Source organism: Homo sapiens, chromosome 13 (genome assembly GCF_000001405.40).
Source record: "Homo sapiens chromosome 13, GRCh38.p14 Primary Assembly".
NCBI lineage: Eukaryota > Metazoa > Chordata > Mammalia > Primates > Hominidae > Homo > Homo sapiens.
Window position 1 is genome coordinate 50,024,186 of NC_000013.11, and position 16,886 is coordinate 50,041,071.

General features: G+C 36.7%; 1 long non-coding RNA gene across 3 annotated transcripts in view, besides 1 other annotated feature; it reads right to left on the minus strand.

Moving 5' to 3' along the window:
- Positions 1 to 16,886, minus strand: part of DLEU2 (deleted in lymphocytic leukemia 2) — a 142,993-nt gene that overhangs the window by 41,637 nt on the left and 84,470 nt on the right. For 2 of the 3 annotated variants that reach the window (NR_152571.1, NR_152572.1), the window contains one exon: positions 2,510 to 3,221. This is a non-coding gene — a long non-coding RNA (deleted in lymphocytic leukemia 2). Of the gene's footprint in view, positions 1 to 2,509; positions 3,222 to 5,092; positions 5,308 to 16,886 lie in introns of those variants that run through there. The other variant, NR_152566.1, reaches the window with a different exon arrangement.
- Positions 2,942 to 3,031: an enhancer, noted in NCBI's record as "active region_7758". NCBI's record gives its function as "activates an Ori minimal core promoter by ATAC-STARR-seq in GM12878 lymphoblastoid cells {active_cell/tissue: GM12878}" and the evidence as "EXISTENCE:reporter gene assay evidence [ECO:0000049][PMID:35858748]".

Genomic DNA, 16,886 nt, shown 5'->3' on the forward strand with positions numbered 1-16,886 from the left:
ATAATTTAAATAATACAATCTGAAAGAGTTGACTCAAGTTACAGATTACAGAAACTACCCCAGAGTATTTTCAATTAGTTTACTTGGGGCCAGGCGCAGTGGCTCGCGCCTGTAATCCCAGCACTTTGGGAGGCCGAGGTGGGAGGATCACTTGAGGTCAAGAGTTCGAGACCAACCTGACCAACATGGTGAAACCCCGTCTCTACTAAAAATACAAAAATTAGCCAGGTTTGGTGGGAGGCACCTGCAATTTCAGCTACTGGGGAGGCTGAGGCAGGAGAATCGCTTGAATCTGGGAGGCAGAGGTTGTAGTAAGCTGAGATTGCACCATTGCCCTCCAGCCTGGGCAAAGAAGTGAGACTCCATTAAAGAAAAAAAAGAAGTTTATTTGGGTAATGCCATATGGAAAGGAGATGAAAATATAGATGTATATGGGGATATAAACTTGTTGCAGATTACACAAAATTATATGTTTAAGCAGAGAATAGTCCAGTTAAAATTGGGATATACTTAATTTGCTAAGAACAATGTAATGCTACCAGCATGCTTAAAATTAAAAAAACTAAGAGAATGTAAGTTCAAAATGAGTGTCACATGACTATAATTGATAGTAAATCTTCACTTACCTCCATAACTTAGGAGTCATGAAAAGAAAGAAGTTAGCAGACCAGGCATGTAAATCAGATGTAAGTAGGATGGAATACAGAAATATTCCTAGTTCTGGGTAACCCAATTTGAGGTCATTTTAAGTTTACTGAATTTGGATTAATCAATTGGTTCAATAATCAAGGTAAAATGGTCCAAAAGATCCTGATATATCCAGAAGACATATTACTGAGGTTTTACAAGGCTAATTTGAAATGCAGATTAACATTCTAGGTTTCCTTACATATCATTAAAATAGACCATATTAAAAATCAATTTCAGAAGCTGCTTTATGACTGGAATAAAAAACAATTAAAGATGTAGAGTAACATTGTATTTCTGTCTGATGCTGGGAGGCTATTTTTTCATGGCAAGTAATAACTGGGTAAACAGAGAGATACTTTAACTTTACAAATAGGAATCCTAGAAAACAAGGTTTTGCTCCTAGAAAACAAAAATAGTTCCTTTCAATTAATTTTCTAAAAATGGTTGCATTGGTCACTTTTTAAACTCCTACAATCTAAGCAGCACTGAATTCCTATTTGATTTTTTTTTTTGCTAATAGTTTTCTTCAGAAGCAAACCTGCTTTAGGGTGAAAAAAAGTTTCAGACCTTAGACAGAACCTTCATTTCCTCTTAAGTATGTTTCTCCATCAAAAACAAGTATTCAAATAAAGAATCTCAATTATCTAAACCTATTTTTGGCCATCTTCCGGAATTTCTTGTTAAATCTCCTTTGAAATGCCACAGTTGCACTCTTGGAAAACTTGTCTTCCTGGTTTTCAAATTTCTGTTTATTATTACAGCTCTTCAGCTAGAATGCCAGGTCTTTGTGCTGTACTGTTTCTTGAAACTGGAGACTAGCACACTTCCCCCAATTCAATTACTTGCTTTCCATTTGAGAAATTAAAGCCAGGTCAATTTTATAAAGTTTTAACTGACTGAATTATTTGGACTTTAAGTTCTCAATTTCATTCCCTTAGCCTAATACTGGGAAAGATCTTGGTTTTATTGAGAGAAGGTAAGGTTTAAGAGTATTAACACATTTCAGTCATTGACTCTTATAATTGATATAAGCGTAGGGATTTTCTAACAGGCACACGCTTGAGATATGACACTCTAAGGAAAAAAGGGAGAGTTCTTATTCAATTCTAGAAATGTTTAAGATTACATACTAATGATATAGTTTATTTACATAAATGTGTGTTCATATTTTTTCTAAAAGAAAGGGACCGACTGTCCTTCATAAAGAGCTTCAGTCAGCTTTTCTACCCTTATCAGCCTTATGTAACTGCCAAATTTACCTCTCCAGCCTGACTTTTACATAGAATTCCAGTTCTGTATATCCAGCCACCTTAAATGAAGACATTTCAAGCTGAACGCCTAAATATCACCTTAAATACATTGCAGAAATGGAACATATTTTCCCCCTCTTAAACTAGTTTCTTTTCTTTTTTTTTTGACAGAGTCACTCTGTCACCCAGGCTGGAGTGCAGTGGCATGATCTCGGCTCACTGCAGCCTCCACTGCCCAGGTTCAAGCGATTCTCCTGCCTCAGCCTCCTGAGTAGCTGGGATTACAGGCATGAGCCACCACGTCTGACTGATTTTTGTATTTTTAGTAGAGGTGGGGTTTCACCATGTTTGCCAGGCTGGTCTCGAACTCCTGACCTCAAGGGATCCACCCACCTCTGCTTCCCAAAGTGTTAAGATTACAGGCATGAGCCATCGCACCCGGCCTTAAACTAGTTTCTTAACTATCTCCTTTCTTTCATTGGTAACTCCATTGTCTTCCAGTATAGAAAATGTATAATCTTTTACACCTCCCTTTTATCCAACCCATCATGATATTCAACAACTTTTTCCTTTGAAATATCTTAAATTTATTCTTTCACCTCCATTCTCCTGCCACTATTGCTGTTCAGGTTTCTTCACCCCTAGATTACTACAGTAGTCACATGCCCAGTTTCCTTGCTACCATATTTTATTTCTTAGACATTTCTATATATAGTATTGCCACATTTAATTCCAAACAAATCAATAGGCTATAATGCCTCCCTATTCCCTGCTATATCAAGACCAAAATCCTCTAATTGGTTTTCTAGGCAAAGGCTCAATAGCCTAGTTCTAACCTAGTAATACAAATTCATGTAACCTTTGCCTTAGGTTTTATGGCACAGATCCCAGGTTACTTCTGGGGGAATGTTGCATTCAATTTTGGCTTAAATTCCTACCTACAAACCAGACAAGTCCATTACTTGACAACTCAATGCATTTTAATTTACAAGCATGCAGGCCACAAATTATAAAATGAAGACTTTTTACTGAGTCAGCAGAAACAACTGTTCAATTCTCCTGTAAGTCCCCAGTTACTTACAGTTTTCTGCTGAGGTGATCATCTCATGTGGCATTTATTGCCCTCTACTAAAATGAGCTATTATCTGACACTCTGCTCTGTACAGACGTGTTTCTGTTTCCATTTTCAGTTCCTTCTCCACATGGTCTAAGTACCAGTAGTTTAGTCAGTTCTCACCTTTTTTGAGGGGAAGGCGGCAATGGTGGTATCAAAATTTACACCTGGAAAACAGGTCATAAAGAAAATCAATATAGAAGGGAAAGTGCTTTACCACAGGAATTATTATTTAATTGCTGGTTGAATTCTTGACTTTTGGTTAAAAGGTAGATATAACAAATATGTAAACCACCCTCAAAGCCAAACCAAAACCAACAGCAACAGGCTTTTCAATCAATGTAATTTATACATTGGGTTCTGGAAAACAGAAATGTCCTATAAATTTTATATAAATGCTATATAAGGGTACATAAAAATGAATCCTTATTATAAATATGACTTAAATGTCATAGCAGTAAACAAATGGTACTTATTTGATCCACAAATTTCTTTGCCTTCTTAGATTTTTTTGAAAGTTTTGGTGTGGCTTGGTTTCTTTTTGAAGGGCCGAGCTGGGAGAAGGAGGAAAGGCATTTGGTCTCCTATAAAATTGTCCAAGAAAGTTTATGAGAAAGCCTATATCACTCAATAAGGTGGCTCCAGTAAGTTTAGGCATTCAAAAACATTCCATTAATTTTAGAGTTACCTTAAAGAATTACAGCAGATCCTCAATGCTTTTGTTTCTGTGATTACGGTAATGGCATTTCTTGAAAAGTATTTTTAAATGTAAGGATTCTTTATTCTACTACCACCTCCTATCTCCTCAGAGATACACAAATAAAGGCCCAAAAATAACAGTTAAACTTTATAGAATTTCACACTTCATTGGAAAGGTTAGAAATGATCATTTAGATCACTAATGACCCCCCAAAAGATAACAAAATTTCACAGGCCTGATTATTCATACCCCTACCCACACTTTGCTGGTTTTGCTGAAAAAAAAAAAAAAATGACATTTTAAGGTACCTGAGACCTGAGGAATGAATGTTAATAGCTCACACAGAATGAGAAGAGCTCTGATCAGTGAAGTAGTAAAAGGTAGAGGGCACTCCTAAATTATCAGAAAATAACCTGCATATTTCTGTATTTATCTAGCAGGTATGCAGCCTTTCTACCACTTTACCATAAAGGTATTACTCCTGATTTTCAGCAATCAATGGTCACTTATTTTACACCTACTATGTTTAAGACACTAGACTAGGCTTGCAGAATATACGATAAAGAATAAGATGGCCCCTTCCCATAAGACAGCATGCATTTGTTCTAAGTCAGGTATGGAAGCTTAAATGAGAGAAATGGTATTTTTGGCTGAGGAGGAAAAGTGAACTGGAAAAATTTCATGTAGGGGGTAAATAGCTTAAGTTTTAGACAATTGAAGATGAAGGAAAGGACATTCTAGGAGTAAATAACTTGAGTTAAGGCTTGGATGAAAATCTGAGTGAGGTTTGAAAAAGTATTATTTCTCTTTGGCTTAACAACAGTTATTATGGTATTCATTGACAATTACTCCCATAGTGGTAAAGTCAATCTTACTTAAGGCAAAAAATATCCTAGATATAGCATTTTGCCTAGGCAACTCTTTCCTCTCAAGATTTCTCACCTGATTTGCTGAGTTAAAAGCCACAGACTCCCAATTATTTAGGGTAAACTTATTTATGCCTAGGTTTCCTTCCAGTATTTCTTACAAGTTTTTTGTTTTTTTTTCTTCAAAGCAACACACCATGGCTCTTGAAGGGCTGCAGGCAATCTGAATACCCTTGTTTTCTTTGATTAGAAATGAGGGTAAATTATGCAAAGGAAGGAAAACAATCTCAAACATGATTATACTCATTTCCCTACCAATTCCCTAGTATCTACTCTTTGCCTTCATTATACTGTATCTACTTTACTCCTTGCTACTTCATCATGTCTTGGTTCATGTTGTTTTCTGCACTCGCAAGTTATCATTCCTTCATTTCACATAATCAATCTTAACCACTTTTTCAGCCCAGCTCACCTTTCATATCCTCTTATAAGTCTTCTCTGATAAGTTTAAGTCCACATTTCCTTCAAGCTTCTACCACACTTAAGTTAGCAAGCCAGAGTTTACATTCCATTATTCTCTACTTGTTTCTTGTATGTTAGTATAATATTCTCATACAGGTTACAGTTCTTTGCTGACAGGGACCATCTTTTATAAACTATAGTGAAGTACCGCACCTAGAGTAGGCCCTTAATAATAAAGATAATGTCACTTTAAAAATGCAAGCAGGAAACGCTTCAGGCATTTAAAAGTAGTATTTTAACAATAACTATTTTTGATTAAATAAAACTATATTCATTCTTCTTTTCAGAACTTGAAGCCTCAAATTATCACCTCAGATCATCATGCTATTAAAAAGTAGATGTGCATATGAATAAAACTGTCCAACTCTATCACTTATACACAACACAGCCATGAACAAAAGCAGCAGCCATTCTTGATAATCCAATCCCCTCTGAAACAAACAATTTCTGGCAGTAGGAGACATTTACAAATACATAGCCTTGCTAACAACCACTAGGTTATAACGGAAAAGGTTTGTAATTTGAATCCTTTAGAGTGTGCATCTTTCAAATGTGTAGTGAAATCATAAATACAATGTAATTTTGTTCAGTTTGGAATGAAGTGAAATTTTGCTTAAAGGAAATGAAGATTATTCAAGTTGAAGCTTTAGTTAACCTGCATTAGTCACTAGCATTCTACTTCCAAAAAAAAAAAAAAAAGTCAATCTTAGGAAAAATTGCAATCAAACATCAAACATCCTTGGCTTAAAACACATTCAGCACAATTTTTAAAACCTCTATACCTACATTACAGAATATAGTAGTTCACCCTTATTCACAGGAGATACCTTCCAAGACCCCTAGTAAATGCCTGAAACTGTGGATAGTATGTAACTTTATATATATATACTATGTGCTTTCCTAAAAATATATATGATAAAGTTTTATTTGTAAATTAGGTACAGTAAGATTAACAAGAATAATAGTAAAATAAAACAATTTAACAAAATGCAAGCATCACTACTCTTGTGGTTTGGGGCCATTATGAATTAAATAAGGATTATGAATTAAATAAGGATTATATGAACACAAGCACTGTAATCCTGGGGCAGTGGGTCTGATAACCATGATGGCTACTAAGTAACTAACAGGCAGATAGTATCTACGGCATAGAAACAATGGACAAAGGGATGACTGCGATCCTAGGCAAGATGGTGCAAGATTTCATCATGCTACTCAGAATGACACACAATTTGAAACTTAAACGTTGTTTATTTCTGGAGTTTTCCATTTAATATTTCCAGACTTCAGTTGACTGTGTGTAACTACATGGAAAATGGGAGACACTACTGTATTACATAAGACTTGATAATAAGGTATGTCTTTATTTATAAAATGTAATGATATTCAGCATATACTTTATTAAGGCAAGAAAATATATTGAAATATTACCATTTTTATTAATGTTTTAGAAAATATTCAAACAAGGTTTAAAATGATTATACTCCAGAAGCTTTACAGGTGTTAAATAAAATTTTTTTAAAAACTAGGCCAGGTGCAGTGGCTGATGCCTGTAATCCCAGCACTTTGGAGGGCCGAGGCGGGCGGGTCACCTGAGGTCAGGAGTTCGAGACCAGCCTGGCCAACATGGTGAAACCCCGTCTCTATAAAAATAACAAAAAAACGGCCGGGCGCGGTGGTTCATGCCTGTAATCCCAGCACTTTGGGAGGTTGAGACGGGCAGATCACAAGGTCAGGATGGTCTCAAGGTCAGGAGATTGAGACCATCTTGGCTAACACGGTGAAACCCCGTCTCTACTAAAAATACAAAAAATTAGCCAGGTGTGGTAATGGGTGCCTGTAGTTCCAGGTACTCGGGAGGCTGAAGCAGGAGAATGGCGTGAACCCAGGAGACGGAGCTTGCAGTGAGCCAAGATCACGCCACTGCACTCCAGCCTGGGCGACAGAGCAAGACTCTGTCTCAAAAAGAAAAAAAAAAAAAAAATCAGCTGGGTGTGGTGGTGCACGCATGTAATCCCAGCTACTCAGGAAGCTGAGACATGAGAATCGCTTGGTCCAGGGAGGCGGAGGTTGCAGTAAGCTGAGATCGCGCCACTGCATTCCAGCCTGGTAACAGAGTGAGACTCTGTCTCAAAATAAGTAAATAAATAAAAATAAAATAAAAGTGATTGTAAACTTCAATTAACAGAATCATCCAGAACTCCAGATTGCCCCATTGATTCAATTAAATTTTTGTCTGATAAAACTTTTAGAAATTCTTTTTCTTTTTTTTCATTTGCATTGCCTTTCCTTTAACAACTTCCAGTGGGGGTAGTTTTCCTTTTTGTTAATCACGTCTCACACAGTCAAGGTGTCGATCTGACAAAGAGTAAGAGAAATGAAATCTAACATAGTTTCTATAAATGGTAAAGTTAAACACAATTTCCAGAACTCTAAGATGATGTTGAATTTTCCACATAAATCTATGAGATTATATTTAATTTTTCCCATCTGCTATTTTAAGTAATATGTCAGTATACTAAATATCTCTAAAATGAATATATTGAAGGCTGACTCTCTTCTAGGATTATAAAAATTTGGGACAAGACAGAGCCAAGTTCAATATCTTATTTAAAATTTAAAGGCTTAGAGAAAGACAGTAACTTAAGGTCTTTCAACTAAGCAATGACAGAGCCAATTCTCAAGTATTTGAATATGACCACAATTAACTTCTCTGGGACAGGAACAGTTTAAGCTTCTGTTTACACTGTCATTTCTCGGGCAAAGTTACCAAGCTACCTAAATACTTCTTTAGCATAATCACAAATATGAATTTTATTATAACACATTATAATCTTTTATTCTGTTTCATTTCATGGCCTTCTAAACGTGTGGGTAAGCTTTAGCTTCTTGTACATGCTCAACTGTTATCTTAATAAAATGCATCCTGATGAAACTGAAGAGACTAGCAACAGAGGCAAGTGCCTCTGAACAAAGAGACATGTTGGATGAATGAATAGCTATACACACATAATTGACCAGTTTGAGACTTTAAAAATGAGGGCAATGCAGAAAATAACTTATAGATTCTCAACATAAGAATCATCAAATTAATCTAATGAACATTTTCACTTCTAATTTATATTTTTACTTTTTGCATATTATTCTTAATTCTTGTATGAATTCTTCAATGAATTCTAAGTTATTTCTTTAGACATTCCTATGGTTAAAGCATTTTCCCCCATAACAGCAAGTAAGATAATTGAAAGATTAGAAAAAGGATTATTTAATCTAAAAAATTCACTTTACTATTTCTATGAGAACTTTTATCTTTTCAACTGAGAGAAGCTAAATACAAAAATACTGAATATGAAAAGTAAATACTTTGAAAAACAGAGAAGGCCCTAAGATTAAGATTGTTTATTGGAAATAGGATTCTTAAGATTTATCTTTTAAAACTGCCATGCTAAATAAGTCAGATTGAATCATTATTAATTCAAATAGATATCATCTACTGTGTCAGATGTTTTCATTTTGTTTTCTTTATATATGGAAGAAAACTGTTTAGCTAAAATATAGTAGATACCACAAATTGTAAAATTATACATTCTAAATGAATACATTAAAATGAAAAATAAGCAGCACAATTTTATATAAAAGATTATAATACTAGGCTGGGCACAGTGGCTCATGCCTGTAATCCCAGCACTTTGGGAGGCCGAGGCAGGTGGATCACAAGGTCAGGAGTTCGAGGCCAGCCTGGCCAACATGGCGAAACCCGTCTCTACTAAATGTACAAAAATTAGCTGGGCGCGGTGGTGTGTGTCTGTAATCCCAGCTACTTGGGAGGCTGACGCAGGAGAATTGTTTGAACCCGGGAGGCAGAGATTGCAGCGAGCCAAGATCAGGCCACTGCACTCTAGCCTGAGTGACAGAGCAAGACTGTCTAAAAAAAAAAAAAAAAAAAAAAAAGGGAATTCTCAACTACTTTTTTAAAAAGGAGTTCTCTCTATGGAAGGCCTAATTTGGAAATGTACTTGGGTCCCTATACAAAGTCGTCCAGAAGCCAGATGATTTCCCAGTGTAGTCCAAAAGCCAGATGATTTCAGGGCAAAGCATTTGAATGCTATGGATTTAGGTAGGCAAGATCCAGAAGCAGAGTACTGTGGGTCTGGGTGGGCAGGTAGAATTCAGATGCTGGGAAAAACACAAACGCAATGCTAGGAAAAAGGGTCATGCCTTACAATTCAGGTGGGACAGATACAAATGAAATAGTTTCTTAATGAGGTAGAAAGAGGAAGTTATTAATTCCTGTTCTTGTTGGATTCTAACATACAAGCTAATTTGAATTCATCAGCCTAAGCAAGGTTGCCTTGGATTTTGAAGTTTTCTTAAGGAATAAACTGTAGAGAAACCATAGGGCCAACCAGATGGATGATGAAATGGAAAAAACAGCAATTAAATACTTTTAGAAAGTATTACAAATTAATACCTTAAAAACCCTGTATCTTGAGCTAGTAGCAAAACTAACTGGAATTCCTGACCTCTGCAGTGCCTTCTTGCAACATCTCAGAAAAAACATCTGGGAATCCATTTTAGTCTGCTAAGAGACTTAAGATTTACATCAGATATATTGTCAAGGTTTCTCTTGTCCTTGTTACCAAGGAGGTAAAAGAAGTGTTGTAAAATTTATTCCTCAGCTGGCACATTATCTCAGTGAGAAATAGAGCCCTTACAAAGACTTATCTTAGACACAAAACTACATTATTGTACTTGGCAAGTACCATTTCATGCTTCTCATTTTTTTCCTCTGATCCTTTAATGAAACTGTGATGTTGATGATCTATAAATTTGATCTAATTGAGGCTAGAATTCTACTGAAAAGATAATTTCTGAGTAGCCATACCAATACTGATATCAATGTATTTTTTAATCAGAGAATTAACATATTACTGAATGTATATGAGGTTACCAGCCTATTTACTAGTCACCAAATGACCTGAGTTCAATAAGACAGCCTCTGGGCTCAAGCTTATTAGCCTTACAGGCTAATAGCAGGGAAATATAGAAGCATGTAAATCATGTGATGATTTAACATAAGCAATAATGAGACTGTTTTAAGGGTGATAGTACAGAAAAGGCAGTTATTTATTTATTTTTTTTGAGATGGACTTCCGCTCTTGTTGCCCAGGTGAAGTGCAATGGCATGGTTTCAGCTCACTGCAACCTCCGCCTCCTGGGTTCAAGTGATTCTCATGCCTCAGCCTCCCAAGTAGCTGGGATTACAGGCATGCACCACCATGCCTGGCTAATTTTTGTATTTTTAGTAGAGATGGGGTTTCACCATGTTGGCCAGGCTGGTCTCGAACTCCAGACCTCAGGTGATCCTCCTGCCTTGGCCTCCCAAAGGGCTGCGATTACAGGCGTGAGCCACTGTGCCCAGCCAGCAGTTATTAATTTTTAACACAAGTGTATATATGTGGGAGATGGGGTTGCCCTTTTGAGGTAATACCTAAAAAACTGAAGGATGAATAGGAATTTGCTACACTACCATTATTGCTCTAGAAGAGATAGAATGAAATTAGTGATTGTTATTAAGCCTTGTCATAAGTCCAGATCTTTAAATTGACATGAAATATTAAGAAAATTCTATGTCTAGAATTTGGATTATTTAGTTTGCAGCCTTTTAGTTGCAAAAGGTGTATTTTCTCTTCTAGATTTTGGTAAACATCCAGAGGGACAGTGTCCTTAAGTGACATTTGGTGTGCGCATATATATATATACACGTATATATATGTGTATATATATACGTGTATATATACACGTATATATACGTGTATATATATACGTGTATATATACACGTATATATATACATATATATACGTGTATATATACACGTATATATATATATATTTTTTTTTTGAGACAGATTCCCACTCTGTTGCCAAGGCTGGAGTGCGGTGGCATGATCTTGGCTCACTGCAACCTCTACCTCCCCAGTTCAAGCGATTCTCTGGCCTCAGCCTCCTGAGTAGCTGGGATTACAGGCATGCACCACCATAACCGGCTAATTTTTTTATTTTTAGTGGAGACAGGGTTTCACCATGTTGGTCAGGCTAGTCTCGAACTCCCAACCTCAGATGATCCACCCACCTCAGACTCCCAAAGTGCTGGGATTACAGGTGTGAGCCACGGTGTCTGGCCTGGTGCTTTAATGCTTTAAAAACGACCAAGTATGACCTGTACATTGTGTAGACTTACTCTGGACAGTAGGGTGAAGGTAGTTTTCTCAGGGAACTATGCCATTACATTAAGGACTCTAATTAAATTCATTTGTCTGTATGTATATCCATGTACCACAAATACACACATGACATGAACACATATACACCTCATCTCCAATGTTACTCAAATATATTTCTCATTGCATGACTCCCTGGCGGTGGGACCAGTGGAGAATGAGAAGATAACTTGTACTTAGTATTTTCACATACAAACCTATCTTTAAGACATTACAAAAAATAAGTTGTAAAAATGTCAGTGTGTTATTAGTCTCTAATTTTTTTTCCCTTCTAAAACAAGTTCTCAAAAGCCTATCATACTATCTCTGATTTCTATTTCAATGGAAGCAGTCAGTACAATGTGTGAAGACCTGGGCATAAAAGCAGCATTAAACTAGTATTAAACAAGACACCAGCATTAAACGAGACAATAAAGTAAGACTAAAAGTACTTTGGAAACTAAAAGTACTACCTAAAAGGAAGGTATCACTATCATTTTGAGCATTTATTTATGTAGTTTTGTCTCCTCTGCCTCTTGTTGGCTATAGGATAGAAGCTGTAGATATAATTCCTAAAAGCGTAAACTTCAAAGTCAAACCATCTGAGCTTGAATCTGGACTCGCTGGCCTGCTGGTTACGTGACATGAGGCATGCTATTTCTCTGTGACTTGGTTTCCTTACCCATATGGATAACAACGGACCTCTCTGAGGGTGGCTGTGAGGACTAAATGAGTTTATAAATGTGAAAGTTGCTGGCAAAGGATAAACACTAAATGTGTTAGCAGTTACTATTTCTACCGCTAATAATAGCATGTAAACCTTGAGTTTTCCATATACACTTTAGAAAAATCAACAACCCTTTCAGGTAACTATTAAAATGTTTTTATTTGATGGTTTGGGTCCTTTTCACTATAATAATCACATAAAATAATAAAAATTTACTGGCCTATGTTCCAGAGGGGCAAATAAATATTAACAAATGTGTCAGGGCTGATGTTCATTTACAATTCTTTCTCATATCAATAATCTTATAATTTGGAAGAGAACCAGGGTAGTCTAAAAAGTACTTGAAAACTGAAGAGCCTGCATTAAAGGATGAATTAAAAACAATCTTTTCAACCAAGTGATATTGTTTAATCAACTCTCAACAATAATTTAGGTTCAAAAGACTGGCAAAGACAGTACAGAATGAGTATTTTCTGCATATATGATGCCAGAATCAACTGACCCACTGCCAATTTCAGAGAAGACTGAAGAAATTAAAGACATTTCTTTTAATCAATAACTGAACACCTATTATGTGCCTGGTAGTGGGAAACACACACACACACACACACCTCTAATTGAAGCTAAATTCCTATTTACTACAGAACAAGAATTCCAAGGGTAGTATTTCTAAACCTAAGCTATGGCTCCGTAGTCTCATTAATGTCTAAGCGTCCTAGAATATAAACATCAAAAAATCCTCCTTTGATACTACTAACTCAATTCTCCCCAAAAGTATATGGTTATATATCCTTGTGGAATTGATTCCTTCCTGTTTATCCAGATTCTTCACCTTTATTTGCTTTTATGGTCTTAAAAGGGAAATGACTACTTAATAATCCAGTTCTACACTGGGTTTCCTACTGCCTCCAAGAAATCTTCTTAAGACAAGCGCTAACTTACAAAAGCTTTAAATATCTCTAAAGATATTTAAAAATTATGTCTCTACTCCTAGTATTTTCATTGCATATATATATTTGAGACAGTCTCGCTCTGTCACCCAGGCTGGAGTGCAGTGGCGCGATCTCTGCTCACTGCAACCTCCGCCTCCTGGGTTCAAGCTATTCTCCTGTCTCAGCCTCCTGATTACCTGGGATTATAGGCGTGAGCCACCACACCCGGCTAATTTTTTGTATTTTTAGTAGAGACTGAGTTTCACTATGTTGGTCAGGCTGGTCTCAAACTCCTGACCTCCTGATCCGCCCCTCGGCCTCCCAAAATGCTGATATTACAGGCGTTTGAGCCACCGTGCGTGGCTCTGCCTTACATTTTTAAAGCTAGGATTTGTTCAAGCTGATATGGTGATTTGCTTCACTTCAAAAAATGCCTTATTATCTTGATTAAGAGTGTTTTTCCCATTTTACCCATTTTAAGGTCCTGTAAGGCAGTCATTTCTATAATGTACACATCCACTACTAGTAGAAAACCCTTGCTTTGGAGTTTATATTTGCCTCCCTGAAACTTGATTTGCCCAGTTTTGTCCTCTTGTGCAATAAAGAATAAACAAGTCTCAAGATTATTATTTTTTTTCTTTTTCAAGCAGGCTTCTCAGTACCTCTAGCCACTCCTCATGACATTCAAACACCTCATATGGTTTCCATTCTCTGAGTTCACTCTAGTTGGTTCACATTCATCTACATACTCTACATGTGGCCTGATATGAGCTACATACCAAGACTGCCAATTAACAATGGTCTGGGGGAACAAATGTTTATCAGCAAATAACAGTTTAGCCAAAATAAATAATTTGCATGCTAGCTTTGAAATTTGCTGAACCCTTACCTATAAACTCTTAATTAAATTCTCCAACTTGAGTATACAGACACCAAGACCATCTGGTATCATTGAAAATAAAGAAACATCAAAGGGATTTGGTTTCTTAATGAATAGAATATAGGGAGTATTTTAAAAGCATTACAATTTCTTCCTGAAGTTATACCTATGTAGAACTTTCTAGAAAGAACAAGTTACCCATTCTTAAAGCTCCAAATTCAGGCCAGGCATGGTGCCTCATGCCGTAATCTCAGCACCTTGGGAGACTGAGGCGGGAGGACTGCTTGAACCCAGAAGCAGACATGCCTGGGCGACAAAGTGAGACCATATCACTAACAAAAAATTCTAAAAATTAGCCGGGTGTGGGTGGTGCATGCCTGTAGTCCCAACTACTCAGGAGGCTGGGTGGGGAAAATCACTTGAGCCCAGGAGATCGAGGCTGTAGTGAGCCATGATTGTGCCACTGCACTCCCAATACAGCAAGACCCTGTCACAAAACAAAACAAAAAACCAAAACAAAACCCAAAACCGAAACAAACAAACAAACAAAAAGCTCCAAATTCCTCCGGTTTTGGAGGTTATCTAAACACATCTAAAAATCATTAATTCAAAAATGGCACAACAGCTTAACTACTATGGACCTGAGGCTTTGAGTCATTTTATTTTGAGACGGAGTTTCGCTTTTGCCCAGCACCCATTAAAATGCTGACAAAAGTGGTCATAACAGAGGGTTTGACTTCAAATCTGAACCATAGGCCTGTTTTGGCAGCAAACATCCTTCTTCCAAAATAGCCAGACTTTTAGACTTCCAAAATAATATAGTTTATTCTGTTAGCCCAGCTGTTTCTCTGGTTCTAAACTTTTTTTTTTTTTTTTTTTTTTTTTGAAACGGAGTCTCACTCTGTCGCGCAGGCTGGAGTGCAGTGGTGGGATCTCGATTCACTGCAACCTCCGCCCCCCGGGTTCAAGCGATTCTCCTGTCTCAGCCTCCCAAGTAGATGGGATTACACGCGCCTGCCACGTTTGTATTTTTAGTAGAGACGGGGTTTCACCACCTTGGCCAGGCTGGTCTTGAACTCCTGACCTCAGGTGATCCAAAATGCTGGGATTATGGGTGTGAGCCACTGCACCTGGCCTTAAACCTGTCTTTCTGAATGAAACTACTATTGCTCTTTTAAATTATAAAATTAGTGTGTGAGACAAATGGATTAAGACATATCATTTTTGCTTACATCATAAATGGGTCAAATTCTGACAAAAACATATTTATTATACTAGACAGGCCAAACATTTATTGAGCTTATTAGTGTCATGTTTACATTTTATAACCATGTTTAAAATGAAATATCCATAACTATTGGTTGTCATTAATAGTAAGAAATGTTTTTGAATATCCAATGTGAATTCCACAATTTTACAACAGCTCAGCTTTTTGATAAATGTAACTATTGAGGTACAAAAGAAGAAACAAACTCAAAATTTGATATACAGGTCTTAGATTTTTTTTTTTTTTTTTTCTGAGGCAGGGTCTTGCTCTCTCACCCAGGCTGGAGTGCAGTGGTGCCATCTTAGCCCACTGCAACCTCCACCTCCCAGGTTCAAGCAATTCTCCTGCCTCAGCCCCCCACCACGTAGCAGGGACTACAGGCGTGCACCACCATGCACGGCTAATTTTTGTATTTTTAGTAGAGATGGGGTCTCGCCATGTTGCCCAGGCTGGTCTTGAACTCTTGAACTCTGGTGATTCGCCAGCCTCAGCCTCCCAAAGTGCTGGGATTACAGGTGTGAGCCACCACGGCCAGATTTCTCTCTTTAAGCAAATTCTGACCAGTACACGTATTTCAGAAGTTATTTTTCTTACTCTCCTGCTCAGAATACTTCATGACCTCCCTTGCCTCAAATTGTTTTCACTATGAAAAGGTATCCTTGGGGATGACATGCGGATATGGTAGAGGAGGAATCCAGAGTAAACAAGATGCATCTTCCTGTATCCTCAATCTTGAGGAAAAATTCTAATCCTAGGCATTTTTACATTACAATACTATGGAATAGATATAAAGTTAGTGGTAATTTTTAGATAAAACTCAAATCTAAAGAAAATATTTCTGAGCCAGAAGCATAGCACTAAACCTCTTCTCTAGAGGAAATATAATCTTTCTAGTCCCTGGCACAGTAACGAATTGGATTGAGAAATAAATTCACTAATCCAAATATGCAACTAGAAGGGTGTATATATAAGGCTAATAACAACTGCTTTTGGATGATAAAAATGATTTTTAAATAATTTTTTTTTGCTCTTCCTGAGGTTTCTATGTCTATATAGTACTTTTATGCTACGAAAAATTAAACTTAACAGAAAAATGCTTAATTTTTGTATATGGAAGTTTCATTGCATTATCAAATCTTTATCACTATAAAATAAACCAGATTTGTATTTCTTTAGTTTGTTTACTAATATAGTTTCAAATTAAAAGAGATTTAAATATCCCTTTTCTTACACTTACCTTTTTTTGAGGTCTGGGGGGGCTTGAAGAGTGGGGAAATGACAGTGAAATCTCTCAACCACGAACTCAAGAAGTAATTCTTGAATTCCTTTTCAATATTACTTTGAGAACTTAAAGCACGCTGTTCCTCTGAAGCTGATTTTAAACTTATCTGATTTTGAAATTTTTCTTCCATGACAGTTAATTCATTATCATGTCTAAAGTTCCTCAACACAGTAGGATTCCCTTTTATAGGTTTCCAAAAGTAAATCATTATATGGATGTAAGGTTGCTTCAAATAATCACTTTTATTTTTCAAGGATTTCTCTCTCTCCTTTTCAAAAAACAAAGTTTGCCCATCACAGAAATCATACATGCTTATTTATAATCAAGAAGATTCCTCCCACCCCTATAAGATTTATCTCTCACCCAGAGTAAACCAGTAAAACAGTTTAGCATATG